This window comes from Homo sapiens, chromosome 8 (genome assembly GCF_000001405.40).
Source record: "Homo sapiens chromosome 8, GRCh38.p14 Primary Assembly".
NCBI classification, from domain to species: domain Eukaryota; kingdom Metazoa; phylum Chordata; class Mammalia; order Primates; family Hominidae; genus Homo; species Homo sapiens.
The window spans coordinates 67,363,590-67,387,970 of NC_000008.11; the positions used below are offsets into that span (position 1 = coordinate 67,363,590).

At 43.3% G+C, this 24,381-nt stretch overlaps 1 long non-coding RNA gene across 2 annotated transcripts in view, besides 6 other annotated features; it reads left to right on the top strand.

Moving 5' to 3' along the window:
- ARFGEF1-DT (ARFGEF1 divergent transcript) overlaps nt 1-24,381 on the top strand; it is a 148,035-nt gene that overhangs the window by 19,756 nt on the left and 103,898 nt on the right. Inside the window, exon 3 of one of the 2 annotated variants that reach the window (NR_136223.1) lies at nt 10,126-11,642. The exons of the other annotated variant lie outside the window; for it this stretch is intronic. This is a non-coding gene — a long non-coding RNA (ARFGEF1 divergent transcript). Of the gene's footprint in view, nt 1-10,125; nt 11,643-24,381 lie in introns of those variants that run through there. 2 annotated transcript variants of the gene reach the window in all.
- Nucleotides 1,945-2,239: a silencer, noted in NCBI's record as "tiled region #12286; HepG2 Repressive non-DNase unmatched - State 23:Low, and K562 Repressive DNase matched - State 5:Enh". NCBI's record gives its function as "represses a minimal TATA promoter and a strong SV40 promoter by Sharpr-MPRA in HepG2 and K562 cells {active_cell/tissue: HepG2 | K562}" and the evidence as "EXISTENCE:reporter gene assay evidence [ECO:0000049][PMID:27701403]".
- Nucleotides 2,562-2,971: a transcriptional cis regulatory region, noted in NCBI's record as "candidate enhancer chr8.1934 targeted for multiplex CRISPR interference". NCBI's record gives its function as "positively regulates ARFGEF1 gene expression with high confidence in K562 cells {active_cell/tissue: K562}" and the evidence as "EXISTENCE:mutant phenotype evidence [ECO:0000015][PMID:30612741]".
- Nucleotides 5,101-5,806: an enhancer, noted in NCBI's record as "OCT4-NANOG-H3K27ac-H3K4me1 hESC enhancer chr8:68280925-68281630 (GRCh37/hg19 assembly coordinates)". NCBI's record gives its function as "activates a minimal SCP1, AML or CMV promoter by ChIP-STARR-seq in primed H9 embryonic stem cells {active_cell/tissue: H9 hESC(primed)}" and the evidence as "EXISTENCE:reporter gene assay evidence [ECO:0000049][PMID:30033119]".
- Nucleotides 5,305-5,599: a silencer, noted in NCBI's record as "tiled region #8634; K562 Repressive non-DNase unmatched - State 7:EnhWF". NCBI's record gives its function as "represses a minimal TATA promoter and a strong SV40 promoter by Sharpr-MPRA in K562 cells {active_cell/tissue: K562}" and the evidence as "EXISTENCE:reporter gene assay evidence [ECO:0000049][PMID:27701403]".
- Nucleotides 5,807-6,512: an enhancer, noted in NCBI's record as "OCT4-NANOG-H3K27ac-H3K4me1 hESC enhancer chr8:68281631-68282336 (GRCh37/hg19 assembly coordinates)". NCBI's record gives its function as "activates a minimal SCP1, AML or CMV promoter by ChIP-STARR-seq in naive and primed H9 embryonic stem cells {active_cell/tissue: H9 hESC(naive and primed)}" and the evidence as "EXISTENCE:reporter gene assay evidence [ECO:0000049][PMID:30033119]".
- Nucleotides 17,321-17,932: an enhancer, noted in NCBI's record as "OCT4-NANOG-H3K27ac hESC enhancer chr8:68293145-68293756 (GRCh37/hg19 assembly coordinates)". NCBI's record gives its function as "activates a minimal SCP1, AML or CMV promoter by ChIP-STARR-seq in primed H9 embryonic stem cells {active_cell/tissue: H9 hESC(primed)}" and the evidence as "EXISTENCE:reporter gene assay evidence [ECO:0000049][PMID:30033119]".

Sequence of the window (24,381 nt, forward strand, 5' to 3'; positions counted from 1 at the left end):
GGGAGGCTAAGGTGGGAGGATGTCTTGAAGCCTGGAGTTCCAGGCCAGCCTGGGCAACATAGCAAGACCTTGTGTATACAAAAAAAGTGAAAAAATTAACCAGGCATGGTGGCGTGTGCCTGTAGTCCCAGCTACTCTGGAGGCCGAGGTGGGAGGATTGCTTGAGCCAGGAGTTTGAGGCTGCAGTGAGCCATGATTGTGCCACTGCCCTTCAGCACGCCAGCCTGGGCAACAGAGCAAGACTCTGTCTCTCAGGAAAAAAAAAACCCTTAAAGAATACAAAGGAACAGAAGAATGGGTAATTACATGATTCAGGGGTAACAGTTGGGATATATCACTGGTGGCCATTTTATATATTTTACATATTGAACCCTGTGAATGCTTTACCTATTACAAAAACAAATGAAAATTACTTTCTATTTGTTCAACAAAGAGTGTCTACATTTAAAAAAATTAATTGCCTGGGAAAAAAAGAAACAATAAGTCCATTTTCTTCTTGGGGTCCAGCATTCTCAGTAGAAATGCACTGAAGAATAAATTTCTCATTGTACACATTTGTCTGATTTTTTTCTTCACTAAAAGAATGCCTAAAGTGTGTAGGATCCTTCCAGTACTCTGATAACTGCTACTCAAAGTGTTGTCCAAGGATCAATAGCATCAGGAGCTGGCTAGAAATGCAGAATCATTGTGCCCCACCCTACACCTATAGAATCAAGAATCAGCACTTTAACAAGGTTCTGCCAGAGGATTTACATGCACTTTAAAGTACTGCTGCAACAGGCAGGATGGAGTTGGATAAAGACAATGCCAGTAGCCCTAGGATATTAGGCAAATTGATGGTTTTTCAGGATAGAGAGCAAAAGGGCACTGAGCAGACTTCCATGAAGTTGAGAACTGATGGAAATCTTATAAATACCCTAGAACCTAAAGTCAAAGAGAAATCATAGCTCCTGAGTGTGAATAAAAATGTAATATATTTTCTATTTAATTTTTAAATAACCCAGTAATATGAAAAAAATAACCGTTCTAGGCCTGCAAAAAGATAAAACCATTAGCTGTCTCAAAAATCAAACCAAAATAGACTAAAACTCTCGATAGCCATCTATCCACTTTCAGTCAAGTCTCTCTGCTTCTACTTTTCCCCCCATCCCACCACCATTTATCCAACAATAAGAATGTGTCTTCTGAAATGGAAGTCAAATCATATCACTCATGACTTCTACACCCTTCAGTGGTGCTGTGATTTGAATATATCTCTCAAAATTGACGTGTTGGAAGCTTAATCCCCACTGCAGCAGTATTGGGTGTGGGGCCTAATAAGAGATGATTAGGTCAGGAGTGGATTAATGTCGTTATTGCAAGAGTAAATTAGTTATCATGGGAATAGACTTGTTATAAAAGTGAATTCAAGGCCAGGTGCAGTGGCTCATGCCTATAATCCTAGCCCTTTGTGAGGCCAAGGCAAGCAGATCACTTGAGGTCAGGAGTTTGAGACCAGCCTGGCCAACATGGTGAAACCCTGTCTCTACTAAAAATACAAAAATTCCCCGGGGTGGTGACATGTGCCTGTAGTCCCAGCTACTCTGGAGGCTGAGGAGGCACGAGAATCGCTTGAACCCAGGAGGCAGAGGCTGCAGTGAGCCGAGATCACGCCACTGCACTCCAGCCTGGGTGAAAGAATGAGACTTTGTCTCAAAAAGAAAAGAAAAGAAAAGTTCAGGCCCCCTTGCGCTTTTGCTCTCTCTCACACAGGGCTCTCTTGCTGTATGTCTTCTGCCATGGGATGATGCAGCAAGAAGGCCCTCGCTAGGTGCTGGCAACATGCTCTTGGATTTCTCAGCCTCCAGAACTATAAGAAATACATTTATTTTCTTTATAAGTTAGCTAGTCTGTGGTATTCTGTTATGACAACACAAAATGGATTAAGACAAATGGCTTCTCATTTTACTCAGAATTAGAGCCAGAGCCCTAACACAGACCTATAAGGCTCTACACAACACAGCTCCTGCCGTGGTCACTCAACTGCTACTACTCTCCCCCGGCTTGCTCAGGTCCAGATACACTGGCCTCCTTGCTATTCCCTGAACTTAGCATGTTCTGCTTCCAGACCTTTGCACTTGTTCCCTCTGCCCAGGATCCTGTTCCTCCAGATAACCCAAAGCTCATGTCCTTCAGGTCTCTGCTTAAGCATCATCTGATAAGCGAGGCCTTCCTTGACCACTCTACATAAAATAGCTGCTCCCCACCCCTCCATCCTCCTTACCCTGCTTTATTTCTCCCCAATCACTTATCATTTCTCACACAATACTATTTTATTTGTCAACTTGCTTGTTTTTTTTTTCCTAGTAGAATATAAGCTCCTCAAAGGCTGGAGCTTTATTTTGGTCATTGCCACACCTCTAGTGCCTAAAAGAGGGATAGTTAATGAATGAAGTTAATGAATGAAGATAGTTAATGAATGAAGAAATTATCCTGTCTTAATTTGTGAAGGATGCCATGTCAAAGTACCATAGACTGGGTAGCTTAAATGATAGAAATGTATTTCTCACAGATCTGGAGTTTGAGAAGTTCAAGATCAAATGCTGGCTGACTCGGTTTCTGGTGAGGGCTGTCTTGCTGGCTTGCAGATGCCTTCTCACTGTGTCCTCACATGACCTTTTCTCAGTCATGCTCAATGGAGAGAGAGATTTCTTTCCTCTTCCTCTTCTTATAAGGCCACCAATCCCGTTGCATTAGGATCCCACATGTATGACTGTCAGAGGCATTTAAACCAGAGGGACTCCATCTTGAATAGGGGCTGGGTAAAATAAGGCTGAGACCTTCTGGGCTGCATTCTTAGGAGGTTAAGGCATTCTGAGTCACAGGAGGAGATAGGAAGTCAGCACAAGATACAGGTCATAAGGACCTTGCTGATAAAATAGGTTGCAGTAAAGAAGCCGGCCAACGGGTGCAGTGGCTCACCCCTGTAATCCAGCACTTTGTGTGGCCGAGGTGGGCAGATCACTTGAGGTCAGGAGTTTGAGACCAGCCTGGCCAACATGATGAAACCCTGTCTCTACGAAAAATGTAAAAAAAAAAAAAAAGCCGGGTGTGGTGGCACAGACCTGTAGTCCCAGCTACTCGGAAGGCTGAGGCAGGAGAATCGCTTGAACCTGGGAGGCAGAGGTTGCAGTGAGCCAAGATTGCTCCACTGCAGTCCAGCCTGGGTGACAGAGCAAGACACCATCTAAAAAAATAAAAAAAAGAAGCTGGCCAAAACCCACCAAAACCAAGATGGTGACAAAAGTGACCTCCGGTCATCCTCACTGCTCATTATACACTAATTATAATACATTAGCGTGCTAAGAGACACTCCCGCCAGTGCCATGACAGTTTACAAATGCCATGGCAACGTCAGGAAGTTACCCTATATGGTCTAAAAGGGGGAGAAACTCTCAGTTCCAGGAGTTGCCCACCCCTTTCCCAGAAAACTGATGAATAATCCACCCGCTTGTTTAGCATGCAATCAAGAAATAACCATAAAAATGGGCAACCAGCGGCCCATGCTGCTGCTCTGCCTATGGATTAGCCATTCGTTATTCCTTTACTTTCTTAATAAACTTGCTTTCACTTTACTCTATGGACTTGCTTTGAATTCTTTCTTGCAGGAGATCCAGGAGCCCTCTGTTGGGGTCTGGATTGGGACCCCTTTCCAGTAACATGATCACATTCAATCTTAATTATCTCCTAAAAGCTCTGTCTCCAAATACCATCACATTGCAGGGTAGGGTTTCAACATACGAATTTGGGATTGCAGGGGACACAGTTCAGGTCATAGCAGATCTCATAACCAGCTCAGCCCTATCATCGTTAAAGAAATTCTCCCCTCAGGCATTTTCTTTTTTAGTTTTTATCTCTTTCAAGGCTCTATTTGGTGTTTATTTTAATATAATTTCCCCTGAACAAAAATTGCTTAAACCAGGGGTTTATCATTTGATATTATTTGCCCTGGGGATATCTGTGGATTTTTTTTTTTTTGGTGGGGGGTGGTCTGGAGGCTTGCAGTAGGTCTCTCATTGTCAATAGTTAGATGTTCCTGAATATACATTTTTAAATATTGAGGGGAAAAAACCAAATTCAGGGTGTTTGTTGCAATTACTGCTCAGTCCCTTATCTTCCTTGACTTGGAACTTGATTGAAATGCCACTTTATAAAATACAAGGTAACTGTAGCTGCTTTGAAACTCTCCATACATGTCCACACTACATTGTAGTGTAGAAAACCTTCCTGTTTGCTAATTGCATCTACAGTTGTGTAAGTATCAGGAACAACTTATAAAATAAATGCATTTTAGCAAACTTTACCCCTGTACTAGTACTGTATAGGAATTAGTTTTCAACCCTGATCACTATGAAACCGCCTTTGCAAAATTATGACTGAGACAGTGAAAGAGATCTATCCTAACCAACTCTATTTTGCTTCTAACCTCCAACCTGTCCTTGTTCATTACTGGACGTAATGGCTGAACTAACTTTGGGAATAACTTAGTTTATAGTTTATAGTTTAAAACAAAGATGGCTGGGCACAGTGGCTCACACCTACAATCCCAGCACTTTGGGAGGCTGAGGCAGGTACCTCACTTGAGGTCAGGAGTTTGAGACCAGCCTGGCCAACATGGCAAAACCCTGTGTTTACTAAAAATACAAAAATTAGCTGGGCATGATGGTGCCTCCCTGTAATCCCAGCTACTCAGGAGGCTGAGGCACGAGAATCACTCGAACCCAGGAGGTGGAGGTTGCAGTGAGCCGAGATCTCACCACTGCACTCCAGCCTGGGCGACAGGGTGAGACTCTATCTCAAAAACAAACAAACAAACAAAAACAAAGACAATAACAGCCCTTTCCCAAAACAAACCTCCTTGCCTGGGGACTAGGCTGCCTTTGTAGGGCTAAGAAATTAGCTACAAGTAAGCCGGGCGCCGTGGCTCATGCCTGTAATCCCAGCACTTTGGGAGGCTGAGGCAGGCGGATCACGAGGTCAAGAGATCGAGACCATCCTGGCCAATGTGGTGAAACCCCGTCTCTACTAAAAATACAAAAATTAGCTGGTGTGTTGGCACGCGCCTGTAGTCTCAGCTACTTGGGAGCCTGAGGCAGGAGAATCGCTTGAAGTGAGCCAAGATCGTGCCACTGCACTTCAGCCTGGCAACAGAGCGAGACTCCATCTCAAAAAAAAAAAAAAAAAAAAAAAAGAAATTAGCCACAAGATTAGAAATTATGGTTTAGGAGTCATGAAGCTGGAGGCTATAAGATTCTGACCCTCCCTAAACTGCTTCTAAAATCAGTGCTTGAGATATTTGCAGACCCTGCACTTGATGGATTAGCTGGCACCACCTGGATCGCTTAAGTGGCTCATCTGATCTTGCGGCCCCCACTCAGCACAAGAAGACAGCTTTGACTTCCTATGATTTCATCCCTGACCTATCAGCACTCCTGGCTCACTGGCTTCCCCCGACCCACTAAGTTGTTTTTGAAAACTCTGCTCCCCAAATGCCTGGGGAGACTGATTTGAGTAACAATAAACCTCTGGTCTCCCGCACAGCCAGCTCTACATGAATTACTTTCTCTATTGCAATTTCCTTGTCTTGATAAATCAGCTCTCTCTAGGCAATGGGCAAGGTGAACCCATTGGGCAGTTACTACTAGAATCATCCATAGACTTGTTTCAACACACAGGTAACCAGATGGACAAAAACTCTCTCCTTACCTAAACTCTTGCCAGGTTCCTCTGAACCCTCTTCTTAACTGAACCACAAGCTTGGCCTGTAGAAACTGCTGACTCTGTGTACGAATGATTTTGTCCACTCCCTATTCACCCCCCACCCCCACCACACATATACTAAGAGACTGGAACAGACAGTAGCATAGTTTCTAACAGCTCAAGTCCACATCCTTAGCATGACAACTCCAGCCCCCTTAAGTTCCTGCCTAAGAGAAAGCTCCATGCTGCAAGGAGAATTACTAACTGTTCCAGCCAAAACATGGTGACAAGCATATAGGTCCCCCCTCTTAGAGCAGTTACTTTAGAAAGCCTGCAATTATAAATCCTTTCTCTGACCCTTTGAAATGTAAATCTACCACCCAGAACTGTCTTCTCAAGGGCCTGAGAGCCATCTCTTTGAAATGCAAACCTTTAAGGAGATAATTCTTACTCTTATTTTTATTTATTTATTTTTTATTTTTTTGAGATGGAGTCTCACTCTGTCGCCAGGCTGGAGTGCAGTGGTGCGATCTCGGCTCACTGCAACCTCTGCCTCCTGGGTTCAAGTGATTCTCCTGCCTTAGCCTCCCGAGTAGCTGGGACTACAGGCACGCGCCACCACGCCTAGCTAATTTTTGTATTTTTAGCAGAGATGGAGTTTCACCATGTTGGCGAGGATGGTCCGCCCACCTCGGCCTCCCAGAGTTTTGGGATTACAGGTGTGAGCCACTGTGCCCAGCCTCACTCTTGATCTTCTCCCTGTGGTGGGGAAGGGCCTAACCTTGGTAGATGCTGTATTCTAACTTACGCCACTGCCTCTTCTATCATGAAGCTACCAGAGATTTGTTTCTCCTCCAGGTAGTGCCAATTAACAAACCACCAGATGGCTTGGTCACATGCACCAGTGCCCCCTTCGCACCCTTCAGCACTTTGCCTTCGGCACCACCAGCCTTTAAAAAGTCTCCTGCCTGGCCGGACGCAGTGCCTCACACCTGTAATCCCAGCACCCCTGGGAGGCCGAGGTGGGTGGATCACGAGGTCAGGAGATCGAGACCATCCTGGTTAAAATGACGAAACCCCGTCTCTACTAAAAATACAAAAAATTAGCCAGGCATGGTGGTGCACGCCTATAGTCCCAGCTACTGGGGAGGCTGAGGCAGGACAATTGCTTGAACCTGGGAGGCGGAGGTTGCCGTGAACTGAGATCGTACCATTGCACTCCAGCCTGGGTGACAGAGCGACTCCGTCTCAAAAAAAAAAAAAAAATCTGCCTTGTGTCCCAGTGAAGCTTCACACTGCCCCCTCTTTCCTACTGCAGTAGTTACAATGCATAGACTTTACCCACCTTTTAACTCTCTGCTAACTATCCAATTTAACTAGTGACCAGCTTTTTTTTTTTATCTTTGGCAAGACCAACCCCAGAGATTCTGTCTTGGTGGGTCTGGGGTGGTGCCGAGGTATTAAGATTTTATTAAAAACCTCACAAGAAGAGTCTTCTGATGCAGAATCAGAATTGAGAATAACTGCTGTAGGACAGCAGCCCTCAAAGTGGGGATTATAGGCTAACAGCATCGTTATCACCTGGGAACTTCTTAGAAATGCAAATACTTGGCCTGGTGCTGTAGCTCACGCCTGTAATCCCACCATTTTGGGAGGCTGAGGCGGGCGGATTACCTGAAGCCAGGAGTTCAAGACCAGCCTGGCCAACATGGTGAAATCCCATCTCTACTAAAAATACAAAAATTAGTTGGGCATGGTGGCATGTGCCTGTAATCCCAACTAGTCGGGAGGCTGAGGCAGGAGAATGGCTTGAATCTGGGAGGTGAAGGTTGCAGTGAGCCCAGATCATGCCACTGCACTCCAGCCTGGGTGACAGAGCCAGACACCGTCTCAAAAAAAAAAAAAAAAAAAAAGCAAATACTTTCCCCCACACCCCAATTTGTCTACTGAATCTGACGTTTTGTGGGTGGGGCCAGCAATCTGTTTCAGCAAGCCTTTATGGTAATTTGGATGCACTAAACTGAGAACCACTGCTAGAGGAGGTTAGATTTGTTCTGTGTAATATAATTAGGACTTTGATAGTTGTTAACTGTGACTTGAAGCCTGGTTATGTCAATAAACATTAACCTGAAGAATATGTCTGCAAAATTTCCTACTCCTGTTCCACTCCCTTTCCCTGCTTTTTTTTCCCCCACTGTATTTTCTCTGAAAAGAGAACTAGAAAGATCCTGGGTCACTAATAGTCTTGGAAATCACCATTTATCTTTGAAACGGTAACACTATTGCTAAACTTCAGTGACAACATTGGCCATTGGAAAGGGTGAGTAGAATCCAAGACTCTTCCCCCTTTAGAAATTCTTAAATATCCTAAAATATGCCCTTTGGCTAACATTTTTTGTAACCAGATGTATGTTTCAGAGAGAATGTCTGGGTAAGAAAAATGATGGAATTTATAAATTATTGCTTTTCCTTTCTACTTTGATAGTTGAAGATTGTATTTCGTTCCAGAATATGTAACCCAGACTTTTGTCAGTCTCTTCCTTTTTTTTTGTTTTTGACAGAGCCTCACTTTGTTGCCCAGGCTGAGGGCAGTGGCACGATCTCAACTCACTGCAACCTCCAGGGTTCAAGCGATTCTCCTGCCTCAGCCTCCCGAGTAGCTGGTGGCATGTGCCACCACACCCAGCTAATTTTTGTATTTTTAGTAGAGAAGGGGTTTCACCATGTTGGCCAGGCTGGTCTCAAACTCCTGACCTCAAGTGATCCGCCCACCTCAGCCTCCCAAAGTGCTGGCATTACAGGCATGAGCCACTGCGCCTGGCCCAGCCTCTTCTTATTCCCAGAGAATAGGAGGAGGTGTGTTGGGGAAGTGGACTATCATTCACTCCCTGGATGGAGAAGAGAAGGTCATTAGGAGAGAGGGGAGGAAAAACAACTGAAGTGTTCTACTGCTTTCTACTCTAGGCAGTGCCAAAGAGTTATGGCTCTTTTAATTCATCCCTTCATCTCATTTGTAAACGGAAAAACACATTCCACAAAAAGAAGTCTTTGTTTCTGGAAACACTTGTTTTAGAAAAAAAACAAAAAAGGTATGAGGAAAGCTTTATTTTGGGGAAATATACTCTCTTGTTTTTCTTTATTAAATGTTTATGTCATTTTGTAAAACACATGATATAGTGAAATAAACGAAAGAATATTTACACATATGCATACACACAGTATTCTTTCAAAGCATAGAGACATAAAAATAATCCTGAAGTTTGGAAATATGTAGATTTTGGCAAGAGAGGTATATCTTTGTATTTCTCACATTAGGATTATTTTGTAAGCACACACTAGTCTTGTCTCACTTAGGGGCAAACTAACAGTGTATTTTGAAGAGATGCCATTGCTGAAGGGCATCAAACATTTATTTCCTTTAAGAATTATACAGGGCCGTGTGCGGTGGCTCACGCTTGTAATCACAGCACTTTAGGAGGCCCAGGCAGGTGGATCACCTGAGGTCAGGAGTTCAAGACAAGCTTGGCCAACGTATAGTGAAATCCCGTCTTTACTAAAAAATACAAAAATTAGCTGGGTGTGGTGGCGCACGCCTGTAGTCCCAGCTACAAGCTGAGGCAGGAGAAGTGCTTGAAGCTGAAGCTGAGGCAGGAGAATTGCTTGAACGAGGGAGGCAGAGTGCAGTGAGCTGAGATCGTGCCACTGCACTCCAGCCTGGGCGACAGAGCAAGACTCCATCTGTAAGAAAAAAAAAAAAAAAAAAAAAAAAAGATCAGGAGCAGTGGCTCACGCCTGTAATCCCAGCACTTTAGGTGGACGAGGTGGGCAGATCACGAGGTCAGGAGTTCGAGACCAGCCTGACCAACATAGAGAAACCCCGTTTCTACTAAAAGTACAAAAATTAGCCAGGTGTGGTGGCACACGCCTGTAATCCCAGCTACTCAGGAGGCTGAGGCAGGAGAATCGCTTGAACCCGGGAGGCAGAGGCTGCAGTGAGCCAAGAGTGTGCCACTGCATTCCAGCCTGGGTGACAGAGCGAGACTCCGTCTCAAAAAAAAAAAAAAAAAGATTTATTCAAACCCACTTGCTCTTCCAAACATTTCTGTGAAATTTATGTAGTTTTTATTTATATCCATGCTTCTTTTAATGGGTTAGAAACTCTTCAATAACCTCCTGCAAAGAGTCTCAAATCTGGCTTCAACTACCCTTGCCTAATTGGTCAGAACATTAGAACCAACATGTCAAACCAGTCTTCCATAGCCTGTCTCCCCACCTCCCACCTCTACCCAAAAACATGTTTATAAGTCAAAGGTGACTTCAGCTGGGAAGGGAAGGGGTGGTCTCTTGTGTGTTGGAGTTAATTATTGTCTCATACTTCCTTTCCAGTGACATTATCCACCCCATCTTGAAATCCTAGAGCCATTTCTACAAGGTTCATTACTCCACTTCATTAAGCAACAGGTCCTGCCAGCTAAAGTCTTAAAAAAAAAAAATAGCAGTAGCAAGTGACAGTTTTAGCAACACTTCCTAACTCCAGTCTGTGACACGCCCATGAACTTTCCACATTAAGAGGAAGTGGTAGGGTGGAAAATTCTAACCTTTTCGAAACTTTGGGACTCTATAAAAATTCCTGTGTGGGAGAAGAAGCTGGAGAAGAAATCCTTGATCTGTAACTTAATATATGTGTATATTTTATGTGTACATATTGGCCTGCCTACCTGCATGTTATAAAGCACGACATCCTACATGCCACAGAGATGCATCTCACAGAGGCTAAGACAAGGTACCAGTCCTCAAAAAGCTGACAGCAGAGGCAGAAGGAAGAAGCAAACACAAAAAACAGTAACTAATTGTGAAGCAGGATGAAATAAGTGATAACAAAGAGGCAAGAGTGACGTGTGGTGGGTTCTGACTGATGGGAGGTTTTATATAGCAGCACCAAGTACCATACAGATTCCAGGTTCAAACGCACACACAACAGGAAGATGAGAAAGCTTAAGACTCAAAATGGAATGGATTAGATAATATAATATATACGAAAGTCCTGGCAGATGGCTTCACTTATTGTTGTAAGAAGGAGTTAGCATTTGATTTGAGCTCTGAAGGATAAAAGAATTTTAAGTGAGGAGAAGGGTGTTCCAGGCTGAGGAAACAAGGTAGAGACAGAGTTGACAGTTTGAGTCTCGGGAGTAAGGTGGGGAATGAAGAGTTGATGGGGTGCTAGCAAACAGTGCCTGGAGAGAGAAAACAGGAGTCTGAAAGCTATGCTAGACAAAGCACCAAGAGCTTTGTGTAACAGGCTGCGGAGCTGGGAGGAAATGAAGAAAAGAAAAAGGTGGTTATTCAATCTCCGCATTCAGACACATCACCACCACCTTCTCTCTGGTCCACCTGAACTGGTCAGAGATAACCAAAGGAGGATAAGGAAATCAACGTGTTGCAACAACAAGGACATCTTTGTAGCACTGCAGTGTCCTAATTGTGACTAATTGTGAAACAGTTCATCACCTCTGCTCACCCAGACCCCTCTCCTATCAGCACCACCACCTCTTCCACCAATCCCCACAGTATTAACTCCACTTCCACTCTGTCCGACATCACCCCCCTCAACCCTTCTGCTCCGCCTCTTCAATCTGGACCAGCAGCAGCCCCTACTGCCAGAACGACACCACAGCCACCCAGCATGGCAGAGCAAGCTTGCACAGGGAAGGTATGCTAGGAAATGGCTGCACACTGTCCCACTAGGGAATTCCATCCTCTGCCAACTAAGGAATTCCATGGAAAAGATTCACGTCAGTGGACAGATCCAGATGGTGCCTGGTACTCTGCAGGTCCTCAATAACTTTCTGTTAAATTGGGTCTTAATTGTTTGTGAGTTATTGATTATAATAAGTCCAATTTCTCAATAAATGGAGTTAGACATCAAGGAGCAACTGTGGTATTGTCAAATGTGAGCCTAAAAGCTCAATACTTTCTACCGCGGCCCTCACTACCATTTTAGTATTATGTTCAAAAATAAGCATGAGATTTCCCCAGTTATAAAGATAACGCATATACATTATGTAAAATTTGGAACATATCCAACTATCTTGCTTTTAAGTTCCCCAGAAAAACAACAACCAGAATCAGCTATTGCAGTCATTTCCTACTGCTGCTGCCGCAAATTATCACAGATTTAATGGCTTAAAACAAACATAAATTCATCTTACAGTTCTGGAGGTCAGAAGTCTGACCTAGGTCTTACTGGGCTAAAATCAAGGCATCAGTGGGGCTGTGTTCATTCTGGAGACTCTACTGGAGCATGTGTTTCTTTGCCTTTTCCAGCTCATGGGAGCTGCCTCCGCTCTTTTTTTTTTTTTTTTTTTTTTTTTGAGACAGGGTCTTGTTCTGTTGCCCAGGCTGGAGTGCGATTACGTCATTACAGCCTCAACTTCCTGGGCTCAGGTGATCCTTCTGCCTCAGCCTCCTGGGTAGCTGGAACCACAGGTGTCTGTCACCACTCCTGGCTAATTTTTTTTTTTTTTTGGTAGAGACGGGGTTTTGCCATGTTGCCCAGACTGGACTCTAACTCCTAGGCTCAAGCAATCTGCCCACCTTGCCCTCCCAAAGTGTTGGGATTACAGGCGTGAGCCACCGTGCCCAGCCTACCCACATTCTTTAGCTTGCGGCCCCTTCATTCATCTTCAAAGCCAGCAACTTTGTGTCTCTTTGATCATTAGTCACATCTTCCTCTGACTTTCTTCTGCCTCCCTCTTTCACTTTTAAGGACACTTGCGATTACATTGGGCCAACATGAATGATCCAGGATAATCTAGGATTATCAGTTTGCTGATTAGCATGTGTAATCTTAATTCTTCTTTGCCATGTGAAGTAACAAATTCACAGATTCTAGGGATTAGGACACAAACATCTTTGGGGCGTCGTTGGCACTAATAATTCCTGTATTCAGAAATAGTAACCACAAACACTTTATTATGTGACTTTCCGTTCTTTTTAAGGTTCACATATATGCAAATATGTAATGCAGTCATGTGTCTCTTAACCATAGGGTTACATTCTGAAAAATGCACCATTAGGCAGTTTTGTCACTGTGTGAACATCATAGAGTGTACTTACATAAACCTAGATGGTATAGCCTTACACACCTAGGCTAGTTAGTATAGCTACACACCTGCACAACATGTTACTGTACTGAAAACTGTAGGCAATTGTAGCACAATGGTTAGAATTTATGTATCTAAATATATCTAAACATAGAAAAGGTACAGTAAAAATATGATATAAAAGTTTTTTCAAATGATTCTCTTACATAGGGCACATACCATGAATGGAGCCTGCAGGACTGGAAGTTGCTCTGGGTTAGTCAGTGAGTGAGTGGTGAGTGAATGTGAAGGCCTAGGACATTACTGCACACTACTGTAGACTTCATCAACACTGTACACCTAGGCTACACTCAATTTATTAAAAATATATTTGTCTTTCTTCAATAATAAACTATTGGGATACATTCTGAGAAGTGTACTGTTAGGCAACTTTTTACCTACTATAACTTTTTTGCCTTATAAACTTTTAAATTTTGAAAAACTTTTTGACTCATTTGTAATAAAACTTAGCTTAAAACACACATTGTACAGCTATACAAAATATTTTCTTTCTTTACATCTTTAATCTATAATACACCTTTACCTATTTTTAAAATTTTTTATTTTAATTTTTACTTTTTAGGCTTTTTTGTTAAAAACTAAAACACAAGCACACACATTAGCCTAGGACTACACTGGGTCAGGATCATCAATGTCACTGTCTTCCACCTCCACATCTTGTCCTACTGGAAGGTTTTCAGGGGCAATAACACGCATGGAGCTGTCCTCTCCTATGACAACAATGCCTTCTTTCAGCATACCACCTAAAGGATCTGAAATATGTAAACCAGTAACAGTCATTTATTATCACTAGCAAGTATGAAGTACTGTGCATAATAGTATGTGTTATACTTTTATACAATTGGCAGTGCAGTAGGTTTGTTTACACCATCACCACAAGCAGGTGAGTAATGCCTTATGCTACATCACTGGCTGTGATGGCTATGATGGCTATGATGTCACTAGGTGATAGGAATTTTTCAGCTCCATTATAATCTGATGGGATTACTTATGTGCCGTTGACCAGAATGTTGTTATTTGGCACGTGGCTGTACATGTAATAGGCTGTTCCTCCACTTTAAAGTGGGATAATATGCATGTAGGGAATGGAGTTTTCTGTATAACTATAGACCTGTAAGACATGCTCTACTTTTAGATCAGCTAATAATCAACAAGGTTACTTTGAATATAATAATGTCTACTTAAAAGCCAGTGAAGGTTCCTCTTTTTCCCATTCAAATTGCCTGTGGAAGTGGAGTAAATGTATTAGTGTGTGTTGATTCATGAGTTGACCAAATTTGGCCAGAAAGTGAAAGCTTTGTTTATGGGAAGAATCAGAGGGTGTTCCAATGAAAACAGGAGCCACTGGTAGTAATGGAGCCTGGAGGTGTTCACACTTGTATTAATCATGCTTCAGCCTACTGTGTTCTGTGAAAAAGAGAACTTGTTTTATACATATAGTCTAATAATTTGTGTCTGACCTGGCAACTCCTTCGTTCCTTCTTCAGTGTTCTAAGATTACACAAACCTAAAGAATAGTGTCAGGCCTCTGAGCCCAAACTAAGCCATCATATAACCTGTGACCTGCACGTATACATCCAGATGGCCTGAAGCAACTGAAGATCCACAAAAGAAGTGCAAATAGCCTTAACTGATGACATTCCACCATTGTGATTTGTTTCTGCCCCACTCTAACTAATCAATGTACTTTGTAATCTCCCCCACCCTTAAGAAGGTTCTTTGTAATTCTCCCCACCCTTGAGAATGTACTTTGTGAGATCCACCCCCACCCGCAAACCATTGCTCTTAACTCCACTGCCTATCCCAAAACCTGTAAGAACTAATGATAATCCCACCACCCTTTGCTGACTCTCTTTTTGGACTCAGCCTGCCTGCATCCAGGTGAAGTAAACAGCCTCGTTGCTCACACAAAGCCTGTTGGTGGACTCTCTTCACACGGACGCATGTGACAAATAGGACATTTGATATCAGATATTTTTTTCTCCTAGCAGGACACTCATGAGTCATCATCAAATTTTTTTTATAGAATTGTTCTCACAGGCTATTCTCTAGGTAGGGAGTTGCAAATAGTAAAGCAATTCATGCTCAGAAGATATTTCAAAATGGTAAAATCTGTTCGAGTAGGTCAAATAAAAATCAAGAAAACCATTTGCAATTATAATTGCGAAGGGATACGCTATTTATTTATAGAGTACCTTTCCCCAAAATAATTTTTTTTGTTTGAGACAAGGTCTCTCTCTGGCTGGAGTCCAGTGGCATGATTATGGCTCATTGAAGATTTGACCTCCTGGGCTCAGGGGATCCTCCTGCCTCAGCCTCCTGAGTACCTGGGACCAAAGGCACATGCCACCGCACCTGGCTAATTTGTTATTTTTTGTAGAGATGGGTTTTTGCCATGTTGCCCAGGCTGGCCTCGAACTCCTTGGCTCAAGTGATTTGCCTGTCTTGGCCTCCCACAGCCAGGCCATGCCTGGCCTAAAAGACTCCAATTCACTAAATTACTATGTTATCTTAAAAGATAGGTGGGAAGAGGCTGGGCGCGGTGGCTCATGCCTGTAATCCCAGAACTTTGGGAGGCCAAGGTGGGCGGATCACGAGGTCAGGAGATCGAGACCATCCTGGCTAACACGGTGAAACCCCATCTCTAATAAAAATACAAAAAACTGGCCAGGCATGGTGGCAGGTGCCTGTAGTCCCAGCTACTTGGGAGGCTGAGGCAGGAGAATGGCGTGAACCCAGGAGGCAGAGCTTGCAGTGAGCCGAGATCGTGCCACTGCACTCCAGCCTGGGCGACACAGCGAGACTCCATCTCAAAAATAAATAAATAAGTAAATAAAATAAAAAGATAGGTAGGAAGAGACATTTTGGTAAAGTTTATCTTGTCTGGTGATAAGGGAGAAGAGTCTCTCGGTCCAACTTTCCCCCATTTTCCTTCTCCGTTTTTCTCATCTCTTTAGACCCAACATTTTAAACTGGCGAAAGGATGGGCAGCAGTTAAGGCCAGATGGGGCGAGGAGTTAAATGTGTCATTTGCTCCCAAATATAGATTCTTTCAGAGGCAAAAACTCATTGATGTTTTAATCCAGGTTTGATCTGAGGTCTCCCTGTCCCTTGAGGTCTAGATAAAGTGAAATCAATACCCCATTGCCCCCCGCTTCAAGGCTTGTGGCTGATTTCTAGAAATTCCTAAGTAGTTTACATTCTCAAACTCAACTCTGGCTCCAAACTTTTGTTTCCTCAGTTTATGGATTATTTCAGTGTCTTTTCATCTTCTTTCTTCTTTCTTCTTCTCCTCCCCTTCCTCCTTCCCCTCCCCATCCCCCTCTTTCTCTTTCTTCTCCTTCTCCTTCTTCTTCTTCCTTCTTCTCCTTCTTCCTTCTCCTTGTTCTTCCTCTTCTTTTTTTTTTTTTTTTTTTTTAAGACAGAGTCTTGTTCTGTCTCCCAGGCTGGAGGGCGGTGGCGTGATCTCGGTTCCCTGCAACCTGGCTCAAATGATCCTCCCGCCTCAGCTTCCCCAGCAGCTGGGATTACAGGTGGGAGCCACCAATGCCTGGCTGATTTTTGTGTATTTTGTAGAGACGGGGTTTCGCCATGTTGCTGTGGCTGGTCTCGAACTCCTGAGCTCACAAAAGTGATCTGTTTGCCTCGGCCTCCCAAAGTGCTGGGATTCCGCCGTGTCCAGCCTGCTTCTTCTGCTCAGTAATTCATTGACTCAGATATCATAGTCAGGCTCTTTCCCAGTCTGTGTGCATGCACACACACACACACACACACACACACACCTCCCAGGAGGCCTTTTGTGTGGTAAGTGGACTTTACCGACGATTTGAGAGACAGACATGTGTTACAGTAGGTAGTCAGGCAGACATGAGTAGGGCAGGAGAGGGCCCCCTACTCACCAGAAACGTCAGGCGACCATCAGGTGTTAGTCAGGTGGTTGTTAACTGTCTCTCTAAAATAATAATTGGTCATAGCCAGTGCCAGGGAAAGGCAGTCTCCCAATAAATAGAAAACACATGAAACTGGTGATCAGCAGCTTCCCGGTAAGATCTTAGGAGTTAGGTGAGTGGGCTCCAGTATGCACATTAAGAGGCAAAATGGTGGAGTTTAACTGGTATATGACCTTCTAGGAACACTCCACTGGTAAGGGAAGAACGCCTCAAGTGAGCATGTGTACAACTCCAGTAAACACACTGTGCATGCAACCCCTCCCCCATACCGACAGGCCACTGCATGTGGGGTCAGCCCACCCCAAGGGAAGAATGGGGGGAGAAGTAATGCAACCCCGGAAGCATGCCAACATAGAAGACCTCAAGTCAAAGGTCAAACCATGCACTTGAATCTCTCAAGTCACCTGTTTGGCCCTCTTCCAAGTGTACTTTACTTCCTTTCATTCCTGCTCTAATACTTTTTAATAAACTTTCACTCCTGTTCTAAAACTTGCATGGGTCTCTCACTCTGCCTTATGCCCCTTAGTGGAATTTTTCTTCTGAGGAGGCAAGGAATGAGGTTGCTGTAGACCCATATGGATTTGCCATTGCTAACACGTGAAAGTGGCAACTTCACCAAAGGAATTTTCACTCAGTCTCTCTCTACCTTACCTGGTGCCCCTCCTTCCTGTGCAAGGCCAAACACGTTCCTCTTGTTTTGTCATGCAGAACTGACCTGCCTTTTCTTTCTTTGCCACAGTCTTGGGGCAGGGCACGCCTTTCCTCAGATGGCTTATCAAGGTATTACCCCAGGCACTGTTCCCTTCCTAAGAAGAGTTCTTGTGCCAGCTGTTAACATAATAAGAATTTCAACCCTGTAAAATTTATTTTTAAACTCCAGTGTTTTCTGCCCAGAGAAAACTAGTATTTCTTTTATTTGACAAATATTTTTTGGTGTGTTTATTTTATGTCAGACATTATTGCTGGAGCTGAGAACACAGTGGGGAATTAGATGCAATCTTGGCCCTCATGGAGTTTCTGTCTCTTGGAGGAGAAATGTTTAAACAAATAATGATGCAAATTATTTATTTATTTGTTTGTTTGTTTGTTTAGAGACAGAGTCTTGCTTTGTGGCCCAGGCTGGAGTGCAGTGGTGTGATGTCGGCTTACTGCAACCTCCCCCTCCCAGGTTCAAGCTATTCTCATGCCTCAGCCCCTGAGTAGCTGGGACCACAGGGGTGCACCACCACACCTGGCTAATTTTTGTATATTTGGTAGAGTCAGGGTTTTGCCACGTTGGCCATGCTGGTTCCAAACTCCTGGCCTTAAGTGATCCTCCCACCTCGGCCTCCCAAAATGCTGGGATTACAGGCGTGAGCCACTGTGCTCAGAGGCAAATAATTTATTTACAAGTGTGGTACATGCTACAAAGGAAAATTTCTGAATACTATCTGGAAGGGTGTGGAGGGTGGCAGGGTGGGTGGTCAGGGAAGGTCTTGCCAAAGAAGGGGCTCCTGAGTGGAGGAAGGGATGGTGAGGAGCTTGCTAAAGAGGAACATTCCTTTCCAATGGAAAGGTATGTTCAAAAGCCCTGAGACAGAAAAAATGTTGCTGGTTTGTCTGACCACAGAAAGAGGCAAGTGGGGTTTCAGCAAGTAAGTGAAAGAAAGAGGGGTGAGAGGTTCTTGGTGTGGAGCCAGGACCCTTTTTAGGTAGAGTCTTATAGGCCATGGTGAGGAGTTAGGGCACCAATAGGGAAGTGACTTACTTGATTTATGTTTTAAAAGATTATTGTAGGTGCAGAATAGAGAATAGATTGCTTACACATTCCAGTGTTGTATAATAAACAACTTAAACATCTACAGATGCAGAATTGGTTAAGTAAATTATGCTATATTTTCATGCAATGAAATTACCACGAAGCCATTAAAAATGGTGAGATGTAATCTCAGCACTTTGGGAGGCCAAGGCGAGTGGATCACGAGGTCAGAAGATGGAGACTATCCTGGCTAAAACGGTGAAACCCCACCTCTACTAAAAATACAAAAATTAGCTGGGCGTAGTGGCGGGCATCTGTAGTCCCAGCTACTGGGGAGGCTGAGGCAGGAGAATGGTGTGAACCTGGGAGGCAGAGCTTGTAGTGAGACGAGATCGTGCCACTGCACTCCAGTCTGGGTGACAGAGCAAGACTGTCTCAAAAAAAAAAAAAAAAATGGTGAGATGAATATATGTTGGCATGGTCAGATGTCCACATTATAGTAAGAGGAAAAAAAAAACTTTTATCTGAGGAATGCAAGCCCTTTTAATTATCAGGCCCAAAGAGACATTAAAATGAGACATCAATCACATCCTTCTCCCCACTTTGAGCTATGTATTCATCCCATGAAACTGCTTGCTATTGCCACAAGCTATAATAAGTTTACCTAATTATGCCACACTGGGCACTATAACCACACCCTATAGGTTATCAATATATAGCCAATAACTAATCAATGCTATTTCTGTAAACCAATGAGAATTCCTGACAATCAACTTTGTCACTCGACTTGCTGCCCCCCTTTTTTGCCTTTAAAAATCCACTTGTAGGCTGGGCGCGGTGGCTCACGCCTGTAATCCCAGCACTTTAGGAGGCTGAGGTCAGGAGTTCAAGACCAGCCTAGCCAACATGGTGAAACCCTGTCTCTACTAAAAATACAGAAGTTAGCTGGGTGTGGTGGTGGGTGCCTGTAGTCCCAGCTGCTCGGGAGGCTGAGGCAGGAGAATGGCGTGAACCCGGGAGGCGGAGCTTGCAGTGAGCCGAGATTGCACCACTGCACTCCAGCCTGGGCGACAGAGTAAGATTCTGTCTCAAAAAAAAAAAAAAAAAAAATCCACTTGTATTGCTCCAGTGCACTCCAGCCTGGGTGACAGAGGGAGATGCTATCTAAAAAAGAAAAAATAAATGAAATAAATAAATTCACTTGTAACTGCTGCTAATTGGAATGTATATTCAGAGCTACTTGAATTTATGATATTGGGTTGCAATCCTCAAGTTCACCCCAAATAATCGCTTTTTTTTTTTTGATGGAATTTAGCTCTTCTTGCCCAGGCTGGAGTGCAGTGGCACGATCTCAGCTCACTGCAACCTCTGTCTCCTGAGTTCGAGTGATTCTTCTGCCTCAGCCTCCTGAGTAGCTGGGATTGCAGGCGCTCACCGCTACGCCTGGCTAATTTTTTGTATTTTTAGTAGAAATAGGGTTTCACCATGTTGGCCCGGCTGGTCTCAAACCCCTGACCTCAGGTGATCCTCCCACCTCAGCCTCCCAAAGTGTTGGGATTACAGGTGTGAGCCACTGTGCCCAGCCATAATCTTTCTACCTATATTAATTTTGCCTCAGCTTTTTCCTTTTAGGTCAACAAGTAATTTGAGGGAGAGGAGTGAGAGTCAAGTTACAACATAATGTCTGTGTTGTTCTTTTCAAAAAAGGCTTAAAGTATATAAACTAAAATGTTTATATTGTCTATCTCTGGGTGGTAGCAATATAGACTTTTTTCCTCCTTTTTTGCTTACTGACTTTTTTTTAGTTTTTCTAGTTGAATAATAAAAAAGGCATGTAAAAATAAGTTCACCAGACATAAGATTGGAATATGGGCTGACTGAGAAAACATTTAAATACAGAAATGTGGCATTTCATTTACCAAGAGTTATACCTATTGCTTACTTCAAAACATGAATACTTTGCAGCACATTTCAAATGTTATTCCACAAAATTTGTAATGAAAAACCAAAAGTGTGATCACTTAAATAGTATTCCTTAAAACAAAGTTCACAGTATTTCTCTTTTCCCTGAATGTATCAATATCTTTAATCAAACATTTTCTCAGACTCAGTGTGAGATTCTCTCCCTCTTGAGTGCCCACTTGGGGAGTACTTCTGACTGTGTTACCTTGCCTCACTTTATTGAATTAGGATTGGAAAATTCATTTTCTGATCATTTCACTTAAAAGTTCCAATGAAAACAACTTGAAGAATGGGAACTAAGATTCAGTGGAATATATGTGAGCTCCAGATATCTTTTTATGGTCATTGTTCCTCTATTTGTACTCTGAAAGCATTGCACAATTCTAGACTTACAGTTAGTTCAAGGCTTTCACCATTGGGTGAAGCGTTAAGTCCCTCAAATATTAGCTTTTCAATAACAATAGCATATATGATCAAATGCCGATGGACCAGTATTTGTGATTTTCTGACTGTAGCAGTGCGGGTTTTAAGTTCCCCGAAATCTTGATCTTTCTGAACTTCCTTTTTTATTTTTTTTATTTTTATTTTTTATTATTATTTTTTTTTTGAGACGGAGTCTCGCTCTGTCGCCCAGGCTGGAGTGCAGTGGCGCGATCTCGGCTCACTGCAAGCTCCGCCTCCCGGGTTCACGCCATTCTCCTGCCTCAGCCTCCCGAGTAGCTGGGACTACAGGCGCCCGCTACCACGCCCGGCTAATTTTTTGTATTTTTAGTAGAGACGGGGTTTCACCGTGTTAGCCAGGATGGTCTCGATCTCCTGACCTCGTGATCCGCCCGCCTCGGCCTCCCAAAGTGCTGGGATTACAGGCGTGAGCCACCGCGCCCGGCCTCCTTTTTTAATTTAAAGGAATCCTTTGAATTTTAAATTTCATGTCATGTTTTACGACAGTAGATTGCTGTAAATGTAATCAGTCTTTTTACTTGTATGCTTGCAAAAACTGAAGATTTTTTTCCCTTATTACTGTCTTTTTTTCGAAATGATTTTCTGTCACTATTGTATAAAATAGCTTAGATTTCCTAGGTCCTCTGATGATCCATGTTCAAAATAATTTTAAATAAACTGTGTAGAAAATATATACCTTACTAATTATGCTAAAGGAAAAGTGTGAATAAAAAGCCAGCACTTTGGGAGGCCGAGGTGGGCGGATGATAAGGTCAGGAGATCAAGACCATCCTGGCTAACACGGTGAAACCCCATCTCCACTAAAAATACAAAAAATTAGCTGGACATGGTTGTGGGTGCCTGTAGTCCCAGCTACTCGGGAGGCTGAGCTAGGAGAATGGCATGAACCCGGGAGGCAGAGCTTGCAGTAAGCCGAGATCGCACCACTGCACTCCAGCCTGGGTGACAGGGCAAGACTCTGTCTCAAAAAAAAAAAAAAAAGCTATTTTTAGGCCGGGTGCAGTGGCTTACACCTGTAATCCTAGCACTTTGGGAGGCCAAGGTGGGCAGACCACTTGAAGTCAGGAGTTTGAGACTAGCCTTACCAACATGGTGAAACTCTGTCTCTACTAAAAATACAAAAAAATTAGCCAGGCATGGTGGCAGGTGCCTATAATTCCAGCTACTCAGGAGGCTGAGGCAGGAGAATTGCTTAAACCAGGGAGGCGGAGGTTGTAATGAGCTGAGATCGCACCACTGCACTCCAGCCTGGGCCACAGAGCGAGACTCCATCTCAAAAAAAAAAAAAAAGGGGTATTTTTACAACTGGGCAGCTTTAATACTTTCAGATACAGTAGCCATAGAGATACCCCTTTATTGGGCCAAGGTGTTGGCAAGAAATCACTGGCCGGGCGTGGTCCCAGCTACTCTGGAGGCTGAGGCAGGAGAATTGCTTGAACCCGGGAGGTGGAGGTTGCAGTGAGCCGAGATCACACCAATGCACTCCAGCCTAGGTGACAGAGCGAGACTCTGTCTCAAAAAAAAAAAAAAAAAAAAAAATCATTGACACCTACTTTGGGAAAACAGTTTTTTACAACACAGTCATTGCTATGTTATTATTTGTATTTGAAACCTATAAAATTCTTTCAAGACAGCTTGCTTTCTTGTTCTTCTTCCTTTTTTTCTTTATTTCTTTATTTCTTTTTAGCAAAACAATTTTCTATTGGTAGAGCAAGCATACACTTCAGTTCATATAATTTTTTTCTTTTTCTTTTTTTTTGAGACAGGATCTTGTTCTAGCACCCAGGCTGGAATGCAGTGGCACAATCTTGGCTCACTGTAACCTCTGCCTCCCAGGCTCAAGCAAACCTCCCACCTCAGCCTCCCGAGTAATTAGGATCACAGACACATGCCACCATGCCCTGCTAGGTTTTTTTTTCTTTTTTTCTTTTTTTTTTTGTAGAGGCAGGGTTTCACTGTGTTGCCCAGGCTAGTCTTGAACTCCTGGGCGCAAGTGATCTGTCCGCCTCAGCCTACCAAACAGTTAATCCTAACGATGAATTCTGATTTTAGTAGAGGATGTATTAAACATAGCAATAAAGTTTTATTACACTACATTTTATTTTAAATAACCACATTTAACAAAAATACATTTCTAGACTGCATAGCCACAGAAACACTATATCTTCTGTTCATCTCTGACCCTGACAGTAACACTAGCATTTATGTAACATTCTATTGTTTCCAAAGATGTCCTAAAATCTTAGGTGGTAGATGTGTAAAAATAAAAAGCAAGTGGTTATGTATCATGTTTTGAAAGCTTAACTTTTCAGCAAACACAGCTAGTTTTAATGACCATGTGACATAGACTCACAACCCTTGTACTGTAATTGTTAATGGCCAAAATAAACAACTTAGCAGATTTTTAGTCCAATCAACAAGCAGGCATGGAACACCTGATATTTGTAGGCACCAGCACAGAAGTTCAGGTATACAAATATGATTAAAGTTAACTGCCAATTTCCAGAGGCTTATTCTTTAATAGAAGTATAGTTATGGAAGTAAAAAGGAGAGAACAATGAATTTTGATAAGAAAGATCAAGGAAAGCTTTAAAAAGAAGTGGCATTTGATCTAAGTCCTATCAAGAAGAATCTTTTTAAAAAAGAAATTACCAGCGGTGGCTTCACGCCTGTAATCCCAGCACTTTGGGAGGCCGAGGCGGGTGGATCACGAGGTCAGCAGATTGAGACCATCCTGGCTAACGCGGTGAAACCCCGTCTCTACTAAAAATACAAAAATTAGCCAGGTGTGGTGGCGGGTGCCTGTAGTCCCAGCTACTCGGGAGGCTGAGGCAGGAGAATGGCGTAAACCCTGGAGGCAGAGCTTGCAGTGAGCCGAGATCGTGCCACTGCACTCCAGCCTGGGCGACAGAGTGAGACTCTGTCTCTAAAAAAAAAGAAAAAAGAAATTACCAGCATTGTCTTTCAAAGATATCTGCTTAGGAAGTTGTGTTTTCATTCCACTGATGGGGCTGATGTGCAAAATATTTTAGAAATGACGTCTAGATCCTATTTTGCCTCACAGGATAATCAACCCCATTTCACTGCAGTCACACTTTGCTTTTTTAGTAGACTGCTCTCCAGTCAATTCTACCAGAAAGCATTTCTCCTTTCAGAGGAGTAGGGCTTGGAGGATGCCCAGACACTCCGGCCTCACCCCCATTTCTTTGTAGTCTGTGGAGAGATGGAGAAAGGAACAATGTTTCTGGGAATTTGCAGATCTCTGTCTAAGGGAGCTTTTTTGTCTGCCACTGAGCCTAAATGACCTGTAGAAGTGCAGAAACCATTATTGGTTTGAAGACAGCAGGCCTGTCTTAAGTGGAAATAT